Consider the following 26520-nt stretch of genomic DNA (forward strand, 5'->3'; position numbering starts at 1 on the left):
CATAGTGGGGACCCTTCTGCATCCCCAGCAGGTGCCCCGCTCTTCAGAGCCTCTCTCTCTGAGGTTTACCCAGACCCCTGCACCAATGAGACCATGCTGAAGCCTCAGAGAGAGAGATGGAGCTTTGACCAGGAGCCGCTCTTCCTTGAGGGCCAGGGCAGGGAAAGCAGGAGGCAGCACCAGGAGTGGGAACACCAGTGTCTAAGCCCCTGATGAGAACAGGGTGGTCTCTCCCATATGCCCATACCAGGCCTGTGAACAGAATCCTCCTTCTGCAGTGACAATGTCTGAGAGGACGACATGTTTCCCAGCCTAACGTGCAGCCATGCCCATCTACCCACTGCCTACTGCAGGACAGCACCAACCCAGGAGCTGGGAAGCTGGGAGAAGACATGGAATACCCATGGCTTCTCACCTTCCTCCAGTCCAGTGGGCACCATTTATGCCTAGGACACCCACCTGCCGGCCCCAGGCTCTTAAGAGTTAGGTCACCTAGGTGCCTCTGGGAGGCCGAGGCAGGAGAATTGCTTGAACCCGGGAGGCAGAGGTTGCAGTGAGCCGAGATCACACCACTGCACTCCAGCCTGGGTGACAGAATGAGACTCTGTCTCAAAAAAAAAGAGAAAGATAGCATCAGTGGCTACCAAGGGCTAGGGGCAGGGGAAGGTGGAGAGTTAATGATTAATAGTATGAAGTTTCTATGTGAGATGATGAAAATGTTCTGGAAAAAAAAATATAGTGGTGAGGATGTAGAATATTGTGAATATAATTAACGGCATTTAATTGTACACTTAACATGATTAATGTGGCATATTTTATCTTATGTATTTGACTACATCCAAGAAACACTGGGAGAGGGAAAGCCCACCATGTAAAATACACCCACCCTAATCAGATAGTCCTCATTGTACCCAGGTACAGGCCCCTCATGACCTGCACAGGAATAACTAAGGATTTAAGGACATGAGGCTTCCCAGCCAACTGCAGGTGCACAACATAAATGTATCTGCAAACAGACTGAGAGTAAAGCTGGGGGCACAAACCTCAGCACTGCCAGGACACACACCCTTCTCGTGGATTCTGACTTTATCTGACCCGGCCCACTGTCCAGATCTTGTTGTGGGATTGGGACAAGGGAGGTCATAAAGCCTGTCCCCAGGGCACTCTGTGTGAGCACACGAGACCTCCCCACCCCCCCACCGTTAGGTCTCCACACATAGATCTGACCATTAGGCATTGTGAGGAGGACTCTAGCGCGGGCTCAGGGATCACACCAGAGAATCAGGTACAGAGAGGAAGACGGGGCTCGAGGAGCTGATGGATGACACAGAGCAGGGTTCCTGCAGTCCACAGGTCCAGCTCACCCTGGTGTAGGTGCCCCATCCCCCTGATCCAGGCATCCCTGACACAGCTCCCTCCCGGAGCCTCCTCCCAGGTGACACATCAGGGTCCCTCACTCAAGCTGTCCAGAGAGGGCAGCACCTTGGACAGCGCCCACCCCACTTCACTCTTCCTCCCTCACAGGGCTCAGGGCTCAGGGCTCAAGTCTCAGAACAAATGGCAGAGGCCAGTGAGCCCAGAGATGGTGACAGGGCAATGATCCAGGGGCAGCTGCCTGAAACGGGAGCAGGTGAAGCCACAGATGGGAGAAGATGGTTCAGGAAGAAAAATCCAGGAATGGGCAGGAGAGGAGAGGAGGACACAGGCTCTGTGGGGCTGCAGCCCAGGATGGGACTAAGTGTGAAGACATCTCAGCAGGTGAGGCCAGGTCCCATGAACAGAGAAGCAGCTCCCACCTCCCCTGATGCACGGACACACAGAGTGTGTGGTGCTGTGCCCCCAGAGTCGGGCTCTCCTGTTCTGGTCCCCAGGGAGTGAGAAGTGAGGTTGACTTGTCCCTGCTCCTCTCTGCTACCCCAACATTCACCTTCTCCTCATGCCCCTCTCTCTCAAATATGATTTGGATCTATGTCCCCGCCCAAATCTCATGTCAAATTGTAAACCCCAATGTTGGAGGTGGGGCCTTGTGAGAAGTGATTGGATAATGCGGGTGGATTTTCTGCTTTGATGCTGTTTCTGTGATAGAGATCTCACATGATCTGGTTGTTTAAAAGTGTGTAGCACCTCTCCCCTCTCTCTCTCTCTCTCTTACTCATGCTCTGCCATGTAAGACGTTCCTGTTTCCCCTTCACCGTCCAGAATGATTGTAAGTTTTCTGAGGCCTCCCCAGGAGCAGAAGCCACTATGCTTCCTGTACAACTGCAGAATGATGAGCGAATTAAACCTCTTTTCTTTATAAATTACCCAGTCTCAGGTATTTCTTTATAGCAATGCGAGGACAGACTAATACAATCTTCTACTCCCAGATCCCCGCACACGCTTAGCCCCAGACATCACTGCCCCTGGGAGCATGCACAGCGCAGCCTCCTGCCGACAAAAGCAAAGTCACAAAAGGTGACAAAAATCTGCATTTGGGGACATCTGATTGTGAAAGAGGGAGGACAGTACACTTGTAGCCACAGAGACTGGGGCTCACCGAGCTGAAACCTGGTAGCACTTTGGCATAACATGTGCATGACCCGTGTTCAATGTCTAGAGATCAGTGTTGAGTAAAACAGCCTGGTCTGGGGCCGCTGCTGTCCCCACTTCCCTCCTGTCCACCAGAGGGCGGCAGAGTTCCTCCCACCCTGGAGCCTCCCCAGGGGCTGCTGACCTCCCTCAGCCGGGCCCACAGCCCAGCAGGGTCCACCCTCACCCGGGTCACCTCGGCCCACGTCCTCCTCGCCCTCCGAGCTCCTCACACGGACTCTGTCAGCTCCTCCCTGCAGCCTATCGGCCGCCCACCTGAGGCTTGTCGGCCGCCCACTTGAGGCCTGTCGGCTGCCCTCTGCAGGCAGCTCCTGTCCCCTACACCCCCTCCTTCCCCGGGCTCAGCTGAAAGGGCGTCTCCCAGGGCAGCTCCCTGTGATCTCCAGGACAGCTCAGTCTCTCACAGGCTCCGACGCCCCCTATGCTGTCACCTCACAGCCCTGTCATTACCATTAACTCCTCAGTCCCATGAAGTTCACTGAGCGCCTGTCTCCCGGTTACAGGAAAACTCTGTGACAGGGACCACGTCTGTCCTGCTCTCTGTGGAATCCCAGGGCCCAGCCCAGTGCCTGACACGGAACAGATGCTCCATAAATACTGGTTAAATGTGTGGGAGATCTCTAAAAAGAAGCATATCACCTCCGTGTGGCCCCCAGCAGTCAGAGTCTGTTCCATGTGGACACAGGGGCACTGGCACCAGCATGGGAGGAGGCCAGCAAGTGCCCGCGGCTGCCCCAGGAATGAGGCCTCAACCCCCAGAGCTTCAGAAGGGAGGACAGAGGCCTGCAGGGAATAGATCCTCCGGCCTGACCCTGCAGCCTAATCCAGAGTTCAGGGTCAGCTCACACCACGTCGACCCTGGTCAGCATCCCTAGGGCAGTTCCAGACAAGGCCGGAGGTCTCCTCTTGCCCTCCAGGGGGTGACATTGCACACAGACATCACTCAGGAAACGGATTCCCCTGGACAGGAACCTGGCTTTGCTAAGGAAGTGGAGGTGGAGCCTGGTTTCCATCCCTTGCTCCAACAGACCCTTCTGATCTCTCCCACATACCTGCTCTGTTCCTTTCTGGGTCCTATGAGGACCCTGTTCTGCCAGGGGTCCCTGTGCAACTCCAGACTCCCTCCTGGTACCACCATGGGGAAGGTGGGGTGATCACAGGACAGTCAGCCTCGCAGAGGACAGAGACCACCCAGGACTGTCAGGGAGAACATGGACAGGCCCTGAGCCGCAGCTCAGCCAACAGACACGGAGAGGGAGGGTCCCCCTGGAGCCTTCCCCAAGGACAGCAGAGCCCAGAGTCACCCACCTCCCTCCACCACAGTCCTCTCTTTCCAGGACACACAAGACACCTCCCCCTCCACATGCAGGATCTGGGGACTCCTGAGACCTCTGGGCCTGGGTCTCCATCCCTGGGTCAGTGGCGGGGTTGGTGGTACTGGAGACAGAGGGCTGGTCCCTCCCCAGCCACCACCCAGTGAGCCTTTTTCTAGCCCCCAGAGCCACCTCTGTCACCTTCCTGTTGGGCATCATCCCACCTTCCCAGAGCCCTGGAGAGCATGGGGAGACCCGGGACCCTGCTGGGTTTCTCTGTCACAAAGGAAAATAATCCCCCTGGTGTGACAGACCCAAGGACAGAACACAGCAGAGGTCAGCACTGGGGAAGACAGGTTGTCCTCCCAGGGGATGGGGGTCCATCCACCTTGCCGAAAAGATTTGTCTGAGGAACTGAAAATAGAAGGGAAAAAAGAGGAGGGACAAAAGAGGCAGAAATGAGAGGGGAGGGGACAGAGGACACCTGAATAAAGACCACACCCATGACCCACGTGATGCTGAGAAGTACTCCTGCCCTAGGAAGAGACTCAGGGCAGAGGGAGGAAGGACAGCAGACCAGACAGTCACAGCAGCCTTGACAAAACGTTCCTGGAACTCAAGCTCTTCTCCACAGAGGAGGACAGAGCAGACAGCAGAGACCATGGAGTCTCCCTCGGCCCCTCCCCACAGATGGTGCATCCCCTGGCAGAGGCTCCTGCTCACAGGTGAAGGGAGGACAACCTGGGAGAGGGTGGGAGGAGGGAGCTGGGGTCTCCTGGGTAGGACAGGGCTGTGAGACGGACAGAGGGCTCCTGTTGGAGCCTGAATAGGGAAGAGGACATCAGAGAGGGACAGGAGTCACACCAGAAAAATCAAATTGAACTGGAATTGGAAAGGGGCAGGAAAACCTCAAGAGTTCTATTTTCCTAGTTAATTGTCACTGGCCACTACGTTTTTAAAAATCATAATAACTGCATCAGATGACACTTTAAATAAAAACATAACCAGGGCATGAAACACTGTCCTCATCCGCCTACCGCGGACATTGGAAAATAAGCCCCAGGCTGTGGAGGGCCCTGGGAACCCTCATGAACTCATCCACAGGAATCTGCAGCCTGTCCCAGGCACTGGGGTGCAACCAAGATCACACAAATCCCTGCCCTCATGAAGCTCATGCTCTCATGGGGAGGAAGACAGACATACAAAGAGATCTAGAATGTGAGGTCAGGTGTTGACAAGAGCCCTGGAGGGAATAGAGCAGGGAAAGGTCAGAAAAGGAAGACCCAGGGTCTCTAGAGGAGGTGTCAGGGAAGGGATCTCCCAAGAATGCCCTGATGTGAGCAGGACCTGAAGGCAATGGGGAGGGAGCCGTGAAGACCCCTGGAAAAGCAGATTCCACACAGGGAAATGCCAAGGTCAGAGGTGCTAAGGAAATAGGAGACACACTGCTGACCTTGACCTAGTAGGACACACACACACACACACACACACACACACTCACTCACTCCAGGGCTGGGGGATGAAGAGACCTGCTCAGGACCCAGGACCCCATTTTTCCACCCTAATGCATAGGTCCCAATATTGACCGATGCTCTCTGCTCTCTCCTAGCCTCACTTCTAACCTTCTGGAACCCGCCCACCACTGCCAAGCTCACTATTGAATCCACGCCGTTCAATGTCGCAGAGGGGAAGGAGGTGCTTCTACTTGTCCACAATCTGCCCCAGCATCTTTTTGGCTACAGCTGGTACAAAGGTGAAAGAGTGGATGGCAACCGTCAAATTATAGGATATGTAATAGGAACTCAACAAGCTACCCCAGGGCCCGCATACAGTGGTCGAGAGATAATATACCCCAATGCATCCCTGCTGATCCAGAACATCATCCAGAATGACACAGGATTCTACACCCTACACGTCATAAAGTCAGATCTTGTGAATGAAGAAGCAACTGGCCAGTTCCGGGTATACCGTGAGTGATTCCCCCATGACCTCTGGGTGTTGGGGGTCAGTTCTACTTCCCACACACAGGATTATCAGGCCTGGGCTGTGCCTGTGGCCCCCTCTGCATTACGCACCATGTTAGGGTTTGGGCATTTAGTGCAGGATACACACAGAAGAGACAAACTTCAACAGATCAGAATTCCTTTCCGGCATCCAGACCCTGCAGACACTCACTGCAGAGGAAGGACAGTCTGATGTGGGGGACTTAGCAGGGGGAGGTCAGTCTCAGCCAAGCACCCCGTGCCCTCCCCGTAAACCTGACCCTGAGAAAGACCCTGGAGAACTGCATCAGAGCCTGGCCTGAGGGACCCCTGGGATATTCACAGAGAAGCTCAGCCCCAGGGCTCCTGGTTCCAGGTGACTCAGGGGAGCCTGTGCCAGGGCTGTGTTGTGGCCTCCTGGGCAAGGCTAACTGGAAGCAAGGACTTAGCAGCTGTCCAAGGGCTGTGGCTCCTGGAGCTGGATTCTGGATGCAGAATCGGACTTTCTGGCCACACTTGTTCCCTGTCCCCAGAGTCTCATTTGGACAAGGACAGAGCCTTGTCCTTTACTTGAGACTCAATGTGGGGAGGATAGATAGACAAGGTTATTAGGGTGTCAGTCCATTGCCCTGGGGACATAGGTGACTCCATGGGAAGCTCAGTGTCCCCAGGAAGAGGAACAGAGGAGAGAAGATGCTCCCGGCAGCTCCTTGTCCACCAGGGATCAGGCCCAGGGCCTTCTCTCTTGGAGGCAAATAAACATAAATGATGTTCATTTGAGCAGCTCCTCTGTGCAGAGCTGAGATCAAGTAATTGTAAATATTTTGAGGTTAATTCACAAACAACCTCACAGCCAAATAGCACTTATCCTACTTATTGAAAGGAAATTGAGGCACAGGGAGACAGTCACTAACAAGGGTCACACAGGCCATAGGTGTCAGATTGAAGTCACATGAGGTCTGTCTGTAGCCACAGCCCCCTCCTCTCCTCAACTGGGGGTGGGTGGGGCTGTTTGTTGTTAGGCATCTGCATCTGAGACCAGTCATGGGCTTGCGTTCTTTTGTCTTGGGCATCCACAGCTCAGAAGCGGAGATTCTGGTCTGGAGAGTGATAAGTAAATGGAGAAATAATCAGTTTTACTCTAGAACTAGATCACCTCAACAGTCAGGGTCAGTGCCGGGATTGTCCAGGCCTCTCCCTGAGATCCACAGCCCCCTCACATGACCTCAAATCCTGTGTTTCCCGATGTGTCAGTGTCACTCCCACGGAAGGATAAAGGAAAGGACTTCGCTTTCTCTCCCCACTCACACCCTGTGCCAACAGAGGCCCAAAGTGAGACACACGCTTGCTCAGTAGCTCTCTCATGAAGGGGGGAATGAGTGAAGGAATGATCCATAACCTCTATAGAGACTGGATCCTGGATGCAGAATCCTGGGAGGTTCTGACCACACCTGTTCCGTGTCCATCAGGGGCTGAGATCCATGTACCATTCCTCTGACCCCCTGTCCCGAAAGCCACCCTATCTCATGTGACTCTGGGGTTCCTTGGCCATGGGAGGGTTTTCAAGGCTCCCTGGTCCTGGTCGGGACAGCCAAGGGACTCCTAGTCCTGGGGTCTCCGAGGTCACTATACCCCGCATGGCTCATTGCCATGGGCATTTCTGACTTTCTTCTATTCCTCCATGTTCTTCGTCTTCCTCCCTCTTCATTCCAGCTGAGATGCCCATCCCTGAACATCTTCCTCCACTCTTAGGCCTTCCCCAGACACTCCCTTGAACAAGGCTGGCTGTCCTGTTTTCTTGCCGCTCACACTGTGTCCTGGCCCACTTCCCAGGCAATAGGGAAGGCACAGAAATCACAGGCAATAGGGAAGGCACAGATGGAGCCCCTGCCAGGCTCCATCACAAGCCAATGTCAACAGGTCACCAGGAGAATGAGCTTCCGCTGTGTTCCTGCCCAGGGCTCTTTACTTCCATGAGGCCAACACACGGAACAGGCAGCAGGACGGGAATGAGCGACTCCTCCATCCACTCCCTACACTGACTCACCAGGGGGTCAGAGGCAGAAGGACAGGTCTGCAGTCCCCAAAGCCCGCATGCTTATTTCACTCACTTCACTACCCACTCCATCTTCATCCTGGTGTGGGGCTCACATCCTCCAGTGGATCCTGGGACCTCCCCCAGGTGGAGCTGGCCAGGCAGGTGCTGTCTGATAGGTTTGCTGCCCATTCCACATACACCTGTGTCCTCATGATGATGCCATTGTCATAAGGTGGAGTCCCTTGGACTGAGAAGTGAACCAGCCACTGGCGTCTCACTTAGACTCTACCCAGTTACAAAAACTTAAACTCTAGTTGTGTTTTCTGAGGTTGATAGGAGAGGAAGAAAACCTTTCACATGCCTGTTTTGAGGCTTCTCCTCTTTTTGCCTAACTCTGCACAGGAACTAGGGGCAGGGAGCGCTTTCTAAATTTACTAACATCACACACATTGCTTCTCCTAACTTGGCATCATTTCTCCCTTTATGTAATTGACACACCTAAGAGTTCCTCTCTGACCGGTTCTGTCCTCTTAACAGGTCTCACATCCCTCTCTCTGTTCAGGGAGTCACTGATTTCAAACCACTTTCAGCATCTTCCTTTGAGCATAATGTGATCACTTTGGAATTCAGAGCAGACCTAAACCTTAGCATAATATTAAAAGAAGTACTACTTCCAGCAATTGATCTTAGATCTTTAGGCCATTGATAAGAATTTCCACTTATGGAAAAAATTTAATGTTTCCCCCAAATGTCTTTCACTTTTTTAACTATAGTCAGAAAATAACATGAGATCTAAACTCCTGACAAATTTTTAAGGGCAAATTATAGTACTACAGATTGAGTATCCCAAATCCTAAAATCCAAAATCTGAAATGCTCCAAAATCCAACATTTTTTGACCACTGACATGATTCTCAAAAGAAATGCTCACTGAAGGCCGGGCACGGTGGCTCATGCCTGTAATCCCAGCACTTCGGGAGGCCAAGGCGGGAAGATCACAAAGTCAAGAGATCAAGACCATCCTGGCCAACATGGTGAAACCCCGTCTCTACTAAAAATACAAAAATTAGCTGGGCGTGGTGGCATGCACCTACAGTCTCAGCTACTTTGGAGGCTGAGGCAGGAGAATCGCTTGAACCCGGGAGGTGGAGGTTGCAGTGAGCTGAGATCGTGCCACTGCACTCCAGCCTGGCAACAGAGCGAGACTCCATCTCAAAAAAAAGAAAAAGAAAGAAAAGAAAAGAAAAAAGAAAGGCTCACTGGAGCACTTTGGATTCCGTATTTTCAGATTTGGGGTGCTAAACTGGTAAGTATATTGCAAATATTCAAAACTCAAAAACAGTCAGAAATCCAAAACACTTTTAGTCCTAAGCCTTACACATAAGACATACTCAATCTGTATGAACTATAGGCACCAAGCTGAACAGCAGATCCCTAGAACCTCCTCATCCTGCATAACTGAAACTGCAGACCCATGAACAACTCTCCATTCCCCCAGTTCCCAGGCTTTGACAACCACCATTCTACTCTCTGATTCCACAAGTGTGACTACTCTAGGGACTTCATATAAGTGGAATCCTACAGTATCTGCCCTGTGAGTGGCTTATTTCATTTAGCATAATGTCCAATGGGAGAAAATAATTGCAAAACTTCTTCTCAAAGTTCTGTCTCATAACTGTCAAACACACATGGTCCTTGAGGGCCAGATTTCCAGCAGTTCATGCTCCCCCTTTTCCACCAGTCAGTTCTGCATTTGCAAATGTCCACATGTATTTATGGAGAGATCCACAGCATCCTCGCCTGCCCTCTGCAAGGGGAGAAGGGACATTAAAGACCAAAGACAGGCCGGGTGCAGTGGCTCATGCTTGTAATCCCAGCACTTTGGGAGGCCAAGGTGGGCAGAACACCTGAGGTCAGAAGTTCAAGACCAGCCTGACCAATATGGTGAAACCCCATCTCTACTAAAAATACAAAATTTAGCTGGGTGTGGTGGTGGGCGCCTGTAGTCCCAGCTACTCGGGAGGCTGAGACAGGAGAATCGCTTGAACCCGGGAGGCAGAGGTTGCCATGAGCCGAGATCGTGCCTGGCCAACACAGCAAGACTCCATCTCAAAAAACAAACAAACAAACAAAGACCAAAGACAAAGAACATACATATGGTTCTGCTGTTAAATCCGGGCAGCTCCTGCCTGTCACCTGAAGTTCTAGATCATTCCCTGGACTCCACTCTATCTTTAGGGGTCTCTGGCTCAAGTCAGTCATCATCAAACACCTGGGAAAAACTGCCCCACCTTGTGCCTCCACTGCCTAACGACTGAGCTGACCTCCAGGCTTGCCTCTGGTGTCCCCTGTGTTATTTCTACTGAAACATCCAGTCCCAGGCCAGGCTGCACAATATGTACAGGGTTTAAGGACAATGGGAAGACCCATCACTATCCATTTCTAGGATGTCCTTGCAAAGGGAAACCACAGAAAAAATATACCTAGGGAAACAAAGTAGGACTGAAGGTGGAAGGGACCCAGCACTTGAATGTTCCAGGTGAGGACCCTACAGTGGGCCAAGTAGTCAACTGGTCAGGGAGGGACCAGGAGAGGCACCAGGAGCTGTGACCTCCCCCCCAGTCCTGTGTCTGTTCACAGCCCAATGCTGCTGCTTAATTCACACTTGAGAAAGTCTGTGCTTCCCCCACACCGAGCAGGCAGCCTCGCAGTCTCTGAGATCTCAGATCATCGTGCATCTGTCTTGTGACACATGCACCCACCGTGGGTTTTTAAGGGCTCAGGTGGGCTGAGAGGTGGAAGGTGCCAACTCTGATTGAAAGATGCCTGTGAGGAATCAAAGGTGCCACACAGGGCAATCTTCTCTCTGTTATCTGCACAGCGGAGCTGCCCAAGCCCTCCATCTCCAGCAACAACTCCAAACCCGTGGAGGACAAGGATGCTGTGGCCTTCACCTGTGAACCTGAGACTCAGGACGCAACCTACCTGTGGTGGGTAAACAATCAGAGCCTCCCGGTCAGTCCCAGGCTGCAGCTGTCCAATGGCAACAGGACCCTCACTCTATTCAATGTCACAAGAAATGACACAGCAAGCTACAAATGTGAAACCCAGAACCCAGTGAGTGCCAGGCGCAGTGATTCAGTCATCCTGAATGTCCTCTGTGAGTATATCTGCTCCTCTCTGGCCCAGGCTGCCAGCCCAAATCCACAGGGCCAGAGGCAGGATTTCTCAGTCCCTCTCAGGTTCAAGTACACAGACCCTCAACCCTGGACATCCAGACTGTCTGTGACTTTCTGCCCCAGAAAAACCTGGGCAGACCAAGTCTTGACCAAGAATAGGAGGGGAGGGGCTGCTTCTGTCCTGGGAGGCTCAGGGTCCACACCCTATGATGGGAGAAACAGGTGAATATCTCAGACTCAGGCTCAGTAGATACAAGAGGGGTTTGGCTGAGACTTTAGGATTGTGATTCAGCTTAGAGGGACACTGTGGTCCTTCCATAGACCAGGAACTTCCACTTCCCTCTGACAATATCACCTGTGGCTTTATTTTGTTTGCTCCAGATGGCCCGGATGCCCCCACCATTTCCCCTCTAAACACATCTTACAGATCAGGGGAAAATCTGAACCTCTCCTGCCACGCAGCCTCTAACCCACCTGCACAGTACTCTTGGTTTGTCAATGGGACTTTCCAGCAATCCACCCAAGAGCTCTTTATCCCCAACATCACTGTGAATAATAGTGGATCCTATACGTGCCAAGCCCATAACTCAGACACTGGCCTCAATAGGACCACAGTCACGACGATCACAGTCTATGGTAAGTGGATCCACGAAGCACTGACATCATGTTTTGAGGTGGAGTCTGTCTGGTTTTCAAACAAGAGCCAGGAAGACATTTTCTATCCCAGCCTGTGTCCAGTGGGCACAAGCAAATCCCAGATTCTCCCACTGAACCTCCCCAATATGTCTCTACAGACTCTTTTCTTCTTGTTCTGATTTCTCATGGCGGGCCCCAGGTCCAGCTTGGAATGTGGGGAGGAGGCTCCCTCAGCCCCACAGCCCTGTGTAGTGGAGGAAGCTTCACAGAGCGGGAAGGAGCAAGGGTTCTCAAGGTCAAGTTGCTTCTCTCTGTCACCAATGTGTCCCTTTCTGTCACCTCTTTGTGTTCTTTTGCCTACTCCATGAGCTACAAGCAACATTCAAGGCTTTGAAACAAGCTCATACTTTTTTCCCAAATGAGAGAAGGAAGCCCCTTGGGTGAGGGAGACACAGCTCAGACTGCTCCCTGCTCTGCTCTGGGCTCCCCTGGGTGACTGGCCTTGCCTGACTCCACCTAGGTGGGAACGAGGTGTGTGGAGAAGGAGCCCGGGTGGTCTGTCCTGAATTCGGCTAAATCAAGCTGCCAATCAACACCAAAGCTTCCCTTCGTCCCAGTCAGGCTGCAGGAAAATGGAAAGAGAGGGAGCCTCAGGGCAGACTCCTGAGCTGCGTCCTGGCTCTGATGTCACCAGCTATATGAGGCTGTGGGCACAGCACATGGGACACAGCACAGGGGACAGCAAGTGACCCACACTTGGAGAAATCAGGAGATTCACCACAGGGGCTCTGCACGGCAGGGAATGGCAGTGTCAAAAATCGTGTGTTTATACAGATGGTAACAGTACATATCTAACACAAACTTACCATCTTAACTTTTCTACACATGCAGTTCAGTGGTATTAAATATATTCCCCTTGTTCTGCTTCCATCACCACCATCTACCCACAGGACTCTTTTCTTCCTCCCAAAATGAAACTCTGTTCCCATCAAACTCCTGGGCAGAGCTGCCCCATCTATGGCCCACAGTCTGATCCCTGACTTGTCACCTCTAGACATGCTCCTAGTCTCCTGCACTATTTCTGCTCAAACATCCATCTCCATCATCACCTATCTCTAGGATGTCCTTAAATAGCAAAGCCTCAGAGCAAACACAACTTGGCTGGGTGGTGTGGGACTGTGCAGCTGGAAGAAACGCAGCTCCTTCAAATTCCAGGTGAGGACCCCAATGGGCCAGGCAGCCAGCCAGTCAGGAAAGGACCAGAAGTGCTGGGGGCTGTGACCCCCAGCCCTGTGTCTGTCCACAACCCAATGCTACTGCCCAATTCACACTTGAGAAAGTCTGTGCTTCTCCCACACAAAACAGCCAGCCTCATGGTCTCTGAGCCCTCAGATCATTGTGCATCTGTCTTGTGACGCACACACACCTGCCATGAGCTTTTAAGGACTCAGTTGGGCTGAGAGGTGGGAGATGCCAACTCTGATTGATAGATGCCCGTGGAGGAATCACAGGTGCCACACAGGGCAATCTTCTCTCTGTTATCTGCACAGCAGAGCCACCCAAACCCTTCATCACCAGCAACAACTCCAACCCCGTGGAGGATGAGGATGCTGTAGCCTTAACCTGTGAACCTGAGATTCAGAACACAACCTACCTGTGGTGGGTAAATAATCAGAGCCTCCCGGTCAGTCCCAGGCTGCAGCTGTCCAATGACAACAGGACCCTCACTCTACTCAGTGTCACAAGGAATGATGTAGGACCCTATGAGTGTGGAATCCAGAACGAATTAAGTGTTGACCACAGCGACCCAGTCATCCTGAATGTCCTCTGTGAGTATCTTCTGTTCCTCTGTGGCTCAGGCTGCCAGCCCAAATCCACATAGCCAAAGTCCAGGCCTCTCAGTCCCTCTCAGGCCCAAGGACAGAGACTTTTACCCCTGGACATCCAGGCTGGCCCTACCCCCAGCAAATCCATGCAGGCCCAGTCCTGACCAAGAATAGGAGGGGAGGGTCTGCTCCTGTCCTGTAACACTCGGGATCCACAGCTAGTGATGGGAGAAACAGATGAATGTCTCAGACTCTGGCTAATTGGATACAGTAGGGGTTTGGTTAGGACTTCAGGATTGTGACTTGGCTCAGGGGGACACTGTTGCCCTTTCACAGACCAGGAGCTTCCCCTTTGCTCTGATGACATTCACCTGTGGCCCTATTCTCTTTGCTCCAGATGGCCCAGACGACCCCACCATTTCCCCCTCATACACCTATTACCGTCCAGGGGTGAACCTCAGCCTCTCCTGCCATGCAGCCTCTAACCCACCTGCACAGTATTCTTGGCTGATTGATGGGAACATCCAGCAACACACACAAGAGCTCTTTATCTCCAACATCACTGAGAAGAACAGCGGACTCTATACCTGCCAGGCCAATAACTCAGCCAGTGGCCACAGCAGGACTACAGTCAAGACAATCACAGTCTCTGGTAAGTGGATCCCTGGACCGTTAGCAATATGTTCTGGAGCGGAATCTGTCTGGTTTTCAGAAAAGAGCCAGGAAGAAATTTTCTTTCCTAGTATGCATCCAATGGGCACAAGCAATCCCAAATTCAATCCTGAGCACTCCCAATTTGTCTCTACAAACACTCTTCCCCTTGTTTTTCTGATTTCTCATGGCTGACCTTGTGTCCACCCTGAGAAATGTGGGGAGGGGTCTTCATCAGCCCTGAGCCCTATGTAGTGGAAGGGGCTTCACAGAGGGGGAAGCAAGAAGGGTCCTCAAGGTCAAGTTGCTCCTCTCTGTCACCAATATGTCCCTTTCTGACACCACTTTGTGTTCTTTTACCTAATCCATGAGCTACAAGGAACAACTGAGGCTTTGAAACAAGCTCACACTTTTTCCCCAAATGAGAGGAGGATGCCCCTTGGATGAGGGAGGAGCAGCTCAGACTCTGCTCCCGGCTCCGCTCCGGGCTCCCCCAGTGACTGGCCCTGCCCTGATTTCACCTGGGGTGGGATCCGGGCATGTGGAGAAGGTGCTCAGGTGGCCTGTCCTGAATCTGGCTAAGTCAAGATGCCAGATGAAGCCAAGCCTTCCCAGGGTCAGGCTACAGGGAAATAAGAAGAGAGGGAGCCTCGGGGCAGACTCCTGAGCTGTGTCCTGGAGTCTGAAGTCACCGGCTGTATGAGATTGTGGGCACAGCACATGGGACACAGCACAGAAGACAGTCAGTGGCACACACTTGGAGACACACAGAGATTCACCCATGGGGACTCAACATGGCAGGGAAGGGGCAGTGCCAAAAAGTGTGTGTTTATAGACAGGGTAAGAATACCAGCCACTATATATATCTAACATAAGACACCATTTTAACCTTTCTATGTATGCAGTTTAGTAGCATTAAATATTTTCCCATTATTCTGCTACCATCATCACCATCCACCCACAGAACTCTTTTCTTCTTCCTAAAATGAAACTCTGTTCCCATCAAACTCTTGGGTAGAGCTGCCCACCTGTGGCCCACAGCCTGACCCCTGAACTCACCTCTAGACTTGCTCCTGGTCTCCTGAGCTATTTCTGCTTAAACACCCATCCCCGTCATCACCCATCTCCAGGATAGCCTTGAAACAAAAGGCTCAGAGAAAACACCCCACGGTTGGGTGGTGTGGGACCGTGCAGCTGAACGGAATTCAGCACCCACAAGTCCCCAGGTTGGCCAGGCCGTCAGCCATCAGGGAAGAACCAAAGGAGGTGCTGGGGGCTGTGACTCCCAGTCCTGGGTCTGTCCACAACCCAACGCTGCTGCCCAATTCACACTTGAGAAAGTCTGTGCTTCCCCCACACAAAGCAGCCGGCCTTACAGTCTCTGAGCCCTCAGATCATCGTACATCTGTCTTGTGATACACACACCTGCCATGGGCTTTTAAGGACTCGGGTGGGCTGAAGGGTGGGAGTTGCCAACTCTGATTGAAAGATGCCTGTGAGGAATCAAAAGTGCCACACAGGGCAATCTTCTCTCTGTTATCTGCACAGCGGAGCTGCCCAAGCCCTCCATCTCCAGCAACAACTCCAAACCCGTGGAGGACAAGGATGCTGTGGCCTTCACCTGTGAACCTGAGGCTCAGAACACAACCTACCTGTGGTGGGTAAATGGTCAGAGCCTCCCAGTCAGTCCCAGGCTGCAGCTGTCCAATGGCAACAGGACCCTCACTCTATTCAATGTCACAAGAAATGACGCAAGAGCCTATGTATGTGGAATCCAGAACTCAGTGAGTGCAAACCGCAGTGACCCAGTCACCCTGGATGTCCTCTGTGAGTATCTTCTGTTCCTCTGTGGCCCTGGTTTCCAACCCAAATCCACACAGCCAGAGGCCAGGACTCTCAGTTCTCCTCAGGTCCAAAGAGGCAGACTCCCACCCCTGGACACCCAGGCTGGCCATAACTTCCTGTCCCAGGAAAATTTGGGCAACCTCAGCCTGGACCAAGAATAGGAGGGGAGAGGCTGCTCCTGTCCTAGGAGGCTCAGAGTCCACAGCCTATGATGGGAGAAACAGATGAACGTCTCAGACCCAGACTCAGTGGACATGAGGGTTATGGTTTGGACTTTTTTTTTTTTTTTTTTTTTTTTGAGACGGAGTCTCGCTCTTTCGCCCAGGCTGGACTGCAGTGGTGTGATCTCGGCTCACTGCAAGCTCCGCCTCCTAGGTTCACACCATTCTCCTGCCTCAGCCTCCCGAGTAACTGGGATTACACACACGTGCCGCCATGCCCAGCTAATGTTTTTTGTATTTTTAGTAGAGACGGGGTTTCACCATGTTGGTCAGGCTGGTCTCGAACTCCTGATCTGCCCGCCTCGGCCTCCCAAAGTGCTGGGATTACAGGCGTGAGCCACCGCACCCGGCCGATTTGGACTTTTTAACACAGGATTGGGACAGGATTCAGAGGGACACTGTGGCCCTTCTACAATCAGGAGCTTCCCCTTTCCTCTGATGACATCACCTGTGGCTTTGTTCTCTTTGTTCCAGATGGGCCGGACACCCCCATCATTTCCCCCCCAGACTCGTCTTACCTTTCGGGAGCGAACCTCAACCTCTCCTGCCACTCGGCCTCTAACCCATCCCCGCAGTATTCTTGGCGTATCAATGGGATACCGCAGCAACACACACAAGTTCTCTTTATCGCCAAAATCACGCCAAATAATAACGGGACCTATGCCTGTTTTGTCTCTAACTTGGCTACTGGCCGCAATAATTCCATAGTCAAGAGCATCACAGTCTCTGGTAAGTGGCTCCCTGGAGCATCAGCATCATATTCTGGGGTGGAGTCTATCTGGTTCTCACCAAAGAGCCAAGAAGACATTTTCTTTCCCAGTCTGTGTTCCATGGGCACAAGGAAATCCCAAATTCTATCCTGAGCCCCCTCACTCCATCTCGGCCAACTCTCTCCTCCCCGGCTTCTCTGATATCTCACGGCTGACCTCGGGTCCAGCCTGGAATGTGGGGAGGGGCCTCCCTTAGCCCCAGAAGGCCCCCAATAGTGAAAGGGACTTCATAGTCCAGAAGAAAGAAGGGTCCTTAAGGTCGAGTTGCTCCTCTCTATCACCAATATGTCCCTTTCTGTCACCTCTTTGTGTTTTTTCACCTACTCTGTGAGCTACAAGGAACAAGGAGGCTTTGAAACCAGCCCACACTTTTTCCCCAAATGAGAGGAGGAAGCCCCTTGGATGAGGCAGGAGCAGCTCAGACTCTGCTCCCTGCTCTGCGCCCGGCTCACCCGGTGACTGGCTCTGCCCTGGCTCCACTTGGGGTGGGACCGGGGCATGTGGAGAAGGTGTCCAGGTGGCCTGTTTTGAATCTGGGTAAATCAAGCTGCCAATCCACAGCAGAGCCTCCCTTGGGTCAGGTTGCAGGGAAATGGGAAAAGAGGGAGCCTCGGGACAGACTCCTGAGCTGTGTCCTGGCTCTGAAGTCACTGGCTGTATGAGGCTGTGGACACAGCACATAGGACACAGCAGAGGAAAGTGAGTGACACACACTTGGAGAAATAGGGAGATTCAGCCATAGGGGCTCTGCATGGGAGGGAACAGGCAGTGCCAAAAAGTGTGTGTTTATAGAGAGGGTAAGACTATCAGCCACTATATATATCTAACATAAAACTTACCATTAACCATTTCTAAGTGTACAATTAAGTGAAACAGCATAAATATCAATCAAGTATATTGCCCGGTGTGGTGGCTCATCCCTGTAATCCCAGCACTTTGGGAGGCCAAGGCGAGTGGATCACCTGAGGTCAGGAGTTCAAGATACAGAAAAAAAAAAATAGCTAGGCATGGTGGTGGGTGCCTGTAATCCCAGCTACTCGGGAGGCTGAGGCAGGAGAATCGCTCGAACCTGGGCGGTGTAGTTTGCAGTGAGCCGAGATTGAGCCACTGCACTCCAGCCTGGGTGACAGAGTGAGACTACATCACAAAAAAAAAAAAAAAAAGGAAAAAATAAATCAAGTCTTTTTATACTCATGTCTAACCATCACATCACACTATCCATTTCCAGAACTTTTTCATCTTACCATACTAAACCTCTGTACCCAATAAACAGTAACTCCTTCTCTCCCCTAAACTCTGGTAATCTCCATTCTACTTTCTGTCTCTAGGTAATCAACTATTCTAACGATCTTACAAAAATGGAATTATATAATAGTTGTCCTTTTGTGTCTGCCCTATTTCACTTAGCATAATGTCTTCAAGGTTCATCCATTTTGCACCATGTATCACAATTTCTTCCTTGTTAAGGTTGAAGAACATTCCATTGTATGGATACACCTCATTTTTCTATCCACTTATCTTTCAATGGACTTTTCAGTTGTTTCCACCTTTTGGCTATTGTGAGTAATGCTGCTGTGAACATCAGTGTACAAATATCTGTTCAAATCACTGCCTTCAATTCTTTTTGGTGTATGTCCAGAAATGGAATTGGTAGATCAAATGTTAATTCTTTTTTTTGTTTGTTTGTTTGTTTGTTTGTTTGTTTTTTGAGATGGAGTCTCGCTCTGTCGACCAGGCTGGAGTGCACTGGCGCGATCTCGGCTCACTGCAAGCTCCGCCTCCCGTGTTCACGCCATTCTCCTGCCTCAGCCTCCCGAGTAGCTGGGACTACAGGTGCCCGCCAACAAGCTTGGCTAATTTTTTTTTTTTTATTTTTAGTAGAGACTGAGTTTCACAGTGTTAGCCAGGATGGTCTCGATCTCCTGACCTCGTGATCCGCCTGCCTTGGCCTCCCAAAGTGCTGGGATTACAGGCATGAGCCACCGTGTCCGGCCCCAAATGTTAATTATTTATTTAATTTTTTGAGGAACCACCATACCATTTTCCACAGTAGCTAATATTTCACATTTCTATCAGCAATGCACTAGAGTTCCAATTTTTCCACCTCCTTGAAAACACTTATTGTTTTGTGGCCATCCTGATGTGTGTGAGGTGGAGTATCATTGTGGCTTTGACTTGCATATCTCTAAGTGTTAGTGATGTTGAGCATATTTGCATGTGCTTGTTGGCCATTTGTATATCTTCCTAGGAGAAATCTCTACTTTAGTCCTTTGTCCATTTATTAATTGGGATTTTGGATTTTTGTGGTTGTTGATTTGTAAGAGTTCTTCATATATTCTGGAAATTAATCCCTTATCAGATATATGATTTGCAAATATATTTCCCATTTCATAGGTTGCCTTTTCACTTTCTCGATAATGTTCTTTAATATATAAAAGTTTTTAATTTTCGAGGCCCTGCACGGTGGTTCCTGTAATCCCAGCACTTTGGGAGGCCGAGGCAGGTAGATTACAAGGTCAGGAGATCAAGACCATCCTGGCTAACACAGTGAAACCCCGTCTCTACTAAAAATACAAAAAAAATTATCCAGGCGTGGTGGTGGGCGCCTGTAGTCCCAGCTACTCAAGAGGCTGAGGCAGGAGAATGGCATGAACCCAGGAGGCATAGCTTGCAGTGAGCTGAGATCGCACCACTGCACTCCAGCCAGGGTGACAGAGCGAGACTCTGTCAAAAAAAAAAAAAAAAAGTTTTTAATTTTCATGAAGTCCAGTTTATCAATTTTTTTCTTTTGTTGCCTATTTGTTGTTATAACCAAGACATGACTGTGAAATTAAATGTCATTAAGCTTTTTTCCCTATGTTTTCTTCTCAGAGTTTTATACTTTTCACTCTTACATTTAGGTCTTTGATCCATTTTAGGTTAATTTGCATATATGGTATCAGGCAAAGATTCAACTTGTTCTTGTGCATGGATATTCAGCTTTCCCTATATCATTTGTTGAAAAGACTGTCCTTTCCCCATTAAATGGTCTTGGCACCGTTATCAAAAATCATTTGGCCATATATGCAAGCATTTCTTTCTGGGCTCTATATTCTATTGCTTTGGTTTCAATATCTTCCTTTATGCCAATACCACACTGTATTGATTACTGTGGCTTTATAGCAAATGCTGAAATCAGGAAGTGTGAGTCCTCCAGCTTCATTCTTTATTTTCCAGGTTGTTTGGCTATTTAGAGTCCTGAGATTCCATATGAATTTCAGGATATGTTTTTCTATTTCTGCAAAAAATGTCACTGGGACTCTGGTACAAATTGCGTTGAACCTGCAGCTCACTTTGAGTGGTATTGTCCTCCTAGCAATATTGAGACTTCCCATCCATGAAAAAAAAATGTCTTTCCATCTATTGATGTTGTCTTTAATTTCCTTCAGCAGTGTTTTATAGTTTTCAGGGTACAATCCTTTCACCTCCTTGGTTAAGCTTATTTCTAACTATTTTATACTATTTTATGTTAATGTGAATTGGAAATTTTTTCTTAATTTCCTTTTAGATTGTTCATTGTTAGTGTGTAGAAGTACAACTGATGTTTGCGTGTTGATTTTGTATCCTGCAACATCACTGAATTTATTTATTAACTCTAACAAGTTTTTTAATCTTCAGGGTTTTCTACAGAGAAGTCCAAGTTATCTGAAAACACAGATCATTTTACTTCTTTCCAATTTGGATGTCTTTTTTTTTCTTGCCTAATTTCTCTGGCTAGGACTTCTAATACTGTGTCGAATAGACGTGGCAAAAGCAGGCATTCTTGTCTTGTTCCTGGTCTTACAGGGAAAGCTTTCAGTCTTTCTCCATTGAGTATCATGTTAGCATTGGGCTTTTCACACATTGCCTTTATTATGCTGAGGTGGTTTCCTTCCATTCATAATTAGAGTGTTTTTGTTGTGAAAGAATGGTGAATTTTGTCAAATGCTTTTATTGGTTCTATCTAATTATAGGCCTATTAAATTTTTTTGTGTTTCCAGGAATTTGTCCATTTCATCTAGGTTATTCAACAGTTTGTTGGCATACAATTATTCATAGCATTCTTGTAGTCCTTAATATTTCTGTAGAATTTGTAGCATTGGTAGCAATATCTCCATTTTCTTTTTTTTTTTCTTTTTTTTTTTTAAGAGACAGGGTCTCACTCTGTAGCCCAGCACAAGCTAGAGTGCAGTGGTGCCATCATAGCTTACTGCAGCCTCAACCTCCAAGGCTCAAGTGATCTTCTGCCCCAGCCTCTTGAGAAGCTGGGACTACAGACATGTGACACCAAGCCTGGATAGTTTTTTAAAGAAATTTTGTAGACACTGTGTCTGCCTATGTTGCCCAGGCTGGTCTTGACCTCCTGACCTCAAGTAATCCTCTTGCTTGAGTCTCCCAATGTGCTGGGATTAAATGTGTGAGCCGCTATACCTCCATTTTCATTTCTGATTTTAGTAATTTGAATCTTCTCTCTTTTTTCTTAGTCAATCTAATAAATGATTGTCAATTTTGTTGATCTTTTTTGAAGAACCAACTTTTGGTTTCATTGATTCCTTCTATTGTTTTTCAATTTTCCATTTTATTTATTTAAACTCTAATCCTTATTATTTCCTTCATGTACTATCTGTGGTTTGAGGTGGTTCTTTTTCTGTATCCTGAAGTTGTAAAGTTAGGTTGTTGATTTGAGATCTCTCTTTATATTTAATGTATTTACCATTAAATTTCTCACACAAGATTCTTAACTTCTCTGAGCCTTCAATTCTTCAACTGAAAATTGTAATAATTCTCATCACCAGGAAATGGAGGAAAAATGAAAATTGCAATAAGAATGACTGTTTAACAGTATTGTTTTAAAGATTTAATGTAATATTCGATTAAGCTTTCAGCAAAATGCTACACACAGAGGGAAACTTCATAAATATTAGCTGCTATTATCACTACTGTTATTATTAGCTTGAAGTTAGGCAGTTCTAGAGCCAAATCCTAGATCCACTTCTCACTAATTATATGACTTTGGATAAGTTTTTTCACCACTCCAAGTCTCTGTCATTTCATCTGTAAGATGGAAATCATGCCTACCCAACAGGGTTATTGTATGGATCAAATGAGATGCCAGAAAAGCATTTACAGTAGCTAACATAGCATTAATCATCAGCCTGAGTTGACTAGTGAGAGCCAAGCCCCAAATGAAAACCCACTAGGACATGGTTACTGGCTAAAAATGGGGGAGAGAAAAAAAAGTTAAGTGCAAAGAATCAAGCCTGGTATGTTAGTTTTCATCCACTGAGATTCAGCCAAGATGGAATTAGAGGTGCAAGATAATTTACCGGGGGGAACCACCATGAGGAAAAGTGGAGTAGAAGTGGGAGGAGCCTGAGAGAGCCCTCAGACCACGATGCAGATCTGATTCCTGAGAAGGAGAAAGAGGAGAGAGTTTTAGATAGTGATGCAGTTCTCAGAGTTTCCACAAGGCTGGTGGGGCGTCCTCAAGCCCCTCACCCATGAGAGAGAAGCAGAGTCCCCCAGAACTGGGCTTTTCATTCCCCTGGTGGGAGCCCATGAGAAGCGAGTTCTCTGTGCAACGGACTTAGTAAATACAGAATGCACTAGCCTGGGCCTTCTGCCAATCAAGTCCCTGCCACAGAGACCCAACAGACTTATTTATGCCTACCACAACTGAGACACTGAGAAAAAGATGCAACCATGAAAAGATAGAAAGTTCTAATGACACGCAAAAATAGCAATCAGACTTTCTCAAATTTCAAAGCCTTCAGAAATAGCTGAGTGCAGACAGGCCAGGGTGGAATTGACAGAAGACTGATCACCAACTAGCAACACAGTGAGAGAGAAAAAATTGCAACTTTCCCACAAAACTAATGCATTCCTTGAAGCAACAAGTAGAGACTGCTTCATGCTGAGAGCTGGAACCTGGGGCACCCCACTGTAAAATAACATCACATTCATTCCTTCTCTTTTCTTTCCATGACGGACGATTCAGCATCTGGAACTTCTCCTGGTCTCTCAGCTGGGGCCACTGTCGGCATCATGATTGGAGTGCTGGTTGGGGTTGCTCTGATATAGCAGCCCTGGTGTAGTTTCTTCATTTCAGGAAGACTGGTAGGTATAATGGCCTTTCCTCTTGTTCTGTTTCCTGCAGTGCTGACTGCCATGCTTGGGAGAGGGAAGGGATTTCTTCACCTGTATCTGGGACTGGATCTCTTCCTCCTACCCCCAAGCTCCTGCTTCTCAGCACTAATTCCTGCAGGTCTCTTCTTCCCTGGTCTTCATGCTCCCTGTACGCCACTGTCTCTTAGATATAATTATCCCCACCCTCTGCTCATTTGTTTCCCAGATTCAATACATTGTCAAAGCCTCTTGGTCCTTTTTTAACATCTCACACTTGTGTCATTCTCTCCATTCCCATAAACCTCAACAACTGCTCAAAGTCCTGCTTGACCCCTTGTTGCCAGTCTTTGAAATCTTTCTTGCATATGACTGCCTCATTACCTTCCTAAAATCTAGTTCACTCGCCTACTCAAGAAGACACAGGGGCCTACTGTGGTGTATTAGATAAGTTCACATTTCTTCTCTTTACTAATCTTTTTTACTTCCTTTACCACCACTCCCTTATATAATTCCATCATCCTAATAGATCTGTTTCCCTACACATCCCTGCCTCTCCACCCCACATGTACACAGAATTCTTAGTTCCGGTGTTACACCTAAAAACATGTCAAACAGGGTGACCTCCTTCCACTGTCTGCACTGTGGAGTTACCCACACCCTTAATCACAAGCAACTTCTGACCTCATGAAGAACAAAGACTGTAGCATTAACCTGTGAGTCTTAAGCTCAGGACACAACTGTGCCTGTGACTGAGAACCTTTTCCTGATAACCAATTCATATGTTCATAACAGATACAGAAATGAAGAAGGCAAGGTCCTTAATTCTATAACAGGAGACAAAACCTGAAAAATAATCATAATGCCAAAATAGAAAGGAGTGAACATCACAAGAAATTAGAGAAATCTGACGGAAAATATAGCTACACATTGGAATCACTCAGAAACATTTTATAAAATGGATACTTAAGTCCCACCGATAAATTCCGATTTACTGGTCTGGAGTGGGACCCAGGCATTCGTAATTTTTAAGCCTCCCCAGATGCTACTAATGTGTAGCCAGGATGGAGAAACCCTGTTCTAAATAGGTAGGACTTGGGGCTAAACCCATGACTTTCAGCTAGGAGGATTAGAATTGCCCATGGAGTTTTTCTGGCTGGGCACGGTGGCTCACGCCTATAATCCCAGCACTTTGGGAGGCCAAGGCGGACGGATCAGGAGTTCAAGACCAGCCTGACCAACATGGTGAAACCCCCTCTCTACTAAAAATACAAAAAAATCAGCTGGGCATGGTGGCACGTGCCTGTAATTCCAGCTACTCAGAAGGCTGAGGCAGGAGAATCGCTTGAACCCGGGAGGTGGAGATTGCAGTGAGCCGAGATCGTGCCACTGCACTCCAGCCTGGGCGACAGAGCAAGACTCCGTCTCAAAAAAAAAAAAAAAAAAAGAATTGCCTGTGGAGTTTTTCAACATACGTAAGCCTATACTTTGTTGGCCCTGTTCATTAATGGGCTCCACCAGGAAATTAGGAATCTAGTTGAGAAACAGAAGCTGAATGGAAAGGCCACCTTATTTGATATGTTAAATTATATGGGAAGCACTGTCAAATCATTAGTGATGTTAAACCTTCTCTAAGTTATATTTATGAGTATGTTATTGATGTATTCCAAAAGTTATATAAGAAATTCTAGAAATCTAATTGGTTATCAGCCATAATGTCATATGCCACAGAAGTAACTAAATTTCTATGTGAGTTGTGTTCTTATTATAATAAATTATCATCAGATTTTTAACTGTACTCATTTTAAATCTTTGTCATTCACAGACAGTTGTTTTGCTTCTTCCTTAAAGCATTTGCAACAGCTACAGTCTAAAATTGCTTCTTTACCAAGGATATTTACAGAAAAGACTCTGACCAGAGATCGAGACCATCCTAGCCAACATCGTGAAACCCCATCTCTACTAAAAATACAAAAATGAGCTGGGCTTGGTGGCGCACACCTGTAGTCCCAGTTACTCGGGAGGCTGAGGCAGGAGAATCGCTTGAACCCGGGAGGTGGAGATTGCAGTGAGCCCAGATCGCACCACTGCACTCCAGTCTGGCAACAGAGCAAGACTCCATCTCAAAAAGAAAAGAAAAGAAGACTCTGACCTGTACTCTTGAATACAAGTTTCTGATACCACTGCACTGTCTGAGAATTTCCAAAACTTTAATGAACTAACTGACAGCTTCATGAAACTGTCCACCAAGATCAAGCAGAGAAAATAATTAATTTCATGGGACTAAATGAACTAATGAGGATAATATTTTCATAATTTTTTATTTGAAATTTTGCTGATTCTTTAAATGTCTTGTTTCCCAGATTTCAGGAAACTTTTTTTCTTTTAAGCTATCCACAGCTTACAGCAATTTGATAAAATATACTTTTGTGAACAAAAATTGAGACATTTACATTTTCTCCCTATGTGGTCGCTCCAGACTTGGGAAACTATTCATGAATATTTATATTGTATGGTAATATAGTTATTGCACAAGTTCAATAAAAATCTGCTCTTTGTATGACAGAATACATTTGAAAACATTGGTTATATTACCAAGACTTTGACTAGAATGTCGTATTTGAGGATATAAACCCATAGGTAATAAACCCACAGGTACTACAAACAAAGTCTGAAGTCAGCCTTGGTTTGGCTTCCTAGTGTCAATTAAACTTCTAAAAGTTTAATCTGAGATTCCTTATAAAAACTTCCAGCAAAGCAACTTTAAAAAAGTCTGTGTGGGCCGGGCGCGGTGGCTCACGCCTGTAATCCCAGCACTTTGATCCGCCGAGGCGGGCGGATCACGAGGTCAGGAGATCCAGACCATCCTGGCTAACACAGTGAAACCCCGTCTCTACTAAAAATACAAAAAAAGTTAGCCGGGCGTGGTGGTGGGGGCCTGTAGTCCCAGCTACTCAGGAGGCTGAGGCAGGAGAACGGCATGAACCCGGGAGGCAGGGCTTGCAGTGAGCCAAGATCATGCCGCTGCACTCCAGCCTGGGAGACAAAGTGAGACTCCGTCAAAAAAAAAAAAAAGTCTATGTGGTCAGTCACTACTCTTGCTGCAGTTATGAAAAGAATGAGGCCAAGTCTGATGAAAATAAACTTATTTTGAAAACAAATTTGTCTTATTGGGATTATCTTTGGTAGAAATAGAGATGCCTATGAAGAGAAATTATGTTGAAAAAAAACTATAGTACACCTGTTATGAGACTGTCACTTTGTACATTGTTGAGTTTTTATTATCCACCTGTAGACTAGAGTGGACCATGAATTCTTCCACTTTCTTCA

General features: G+C 48.3%; 1 protein-coding gene across 8 annotated transcripts, besides 3 other annotated features; it reads left to right on the forward strand.

Moving 5' to 3' along the window:
- Positions 2579-2698: a silencer, noted in NCBI's record as "silent region_10668". NCBI's record gives its function as "represses an Ori minimal core promoter by ATAC-STARR-seq in GM12878 lymphoblastoid cells {active_cell/tissue: GM12878}" and the evidence as "EXISTENCE:reporter gene assay evidence [ECO:0000049][PMID:35858748]".
- Positions 2719-2768: a silencer, noted in NCBI's record as "silent region_10669". NCBI's record gives its function as "represses an Ori minimal core promoter by ATAC-STARR-seq in GM12878 lymphoblastoid cells {active_cell/tissue: GM12878}" and the evidence as "EXISTENCE:reporter gene assay evidence [ECO:0000049][PMID:35858748]".
- Positions 2799-2848: a silencer, noted in NCBI's record as "silent region_10670". NCBI's record gives its function as "represses an Ori minimal core promoter by ATAC-STARR-seq in GM12878 lymphoblastoid cells {active_cell/tissue: GM12878}" and the evidence as "EXISTENCE:reporter gene assay evidence [ECO:0000049][PMID:35858748]".
- CEACAM5 (CEA cell adhesion molecule 5) lies at positions 4458-26351 on the forward strand. 8 transcript variants are annotated; one of them, NM_001308398.3, is made up of 10 exons: positions 4458-4627; positions 5512-5871; positions 10803-11081; positions 11482-11736; positions 13290-13565; positions 13960-14214; positions 15762-16040; positions 16754-17008; positions 23066-23184; positions 25016-26351. In NM_001308398.3, the coding sequence occupies exons 1-9, from the start codon at positions 4564-4566 to the stop codon at positions 23146-23148; spliced, it is 2106 nt and encodes a 701-aa protein (NP_001295327.1). In that variant the 5' UTR covers positions 4458-4563; the 3' UTR covers positions 23149-23184; positions 25016-26351. The 8 variants fall into 8 exon arrangements, with proteins under 8 accessions (NP_001295327.1, NP_001427249.1, NP_001427250.1 ...); NM_001440320.1 differs by having other exon boundaries at positions 25042-26351; NM_001440321.1 differs by having other exon boundaries at positions 5512-5655; positions 13287-13565.
- The last annotated feature ends 169 nt before the right edge of the window (positions 26352-26520 follow it).

This window comes from Homo sapiens, chromosome 19 (assembly GCF_000001405.40).
Source record: "Homo sapiens chromosome 19, GRCh38.p14 Primary Assembly".
Classification (NCBI taxonomy): Eukaryota; Metazoa; Chordata; class Mammalia; order Primates; family Hominidae; genus Homo; species Homo sapiens.

Bases quoted from the DNA above. Each gene is read 5' to 3' on its own strand.
- CEACAM5 (NM_004363.6), top strand. From the start codon at position 4,564: ATGGAGTCTCCCTCGGCCCCTCCCCACAGATGGTGCATCCCCTGGCAG. The intron at 13,566-13,959 runs GTGAGTATCTTC...TCTTTGCTCCAG, and splicing joins AGTCATCCTGAATGTCCTCT to ATGGCCCAGACGACCCCACC. The intron at 14,215-15,761 runs GTAAGTGGATCC...TTATCTGCACAG, and splicing joins CAAGACAATCACAGTCTCTG to CGGAGCTGCCCAAGCCCTCC.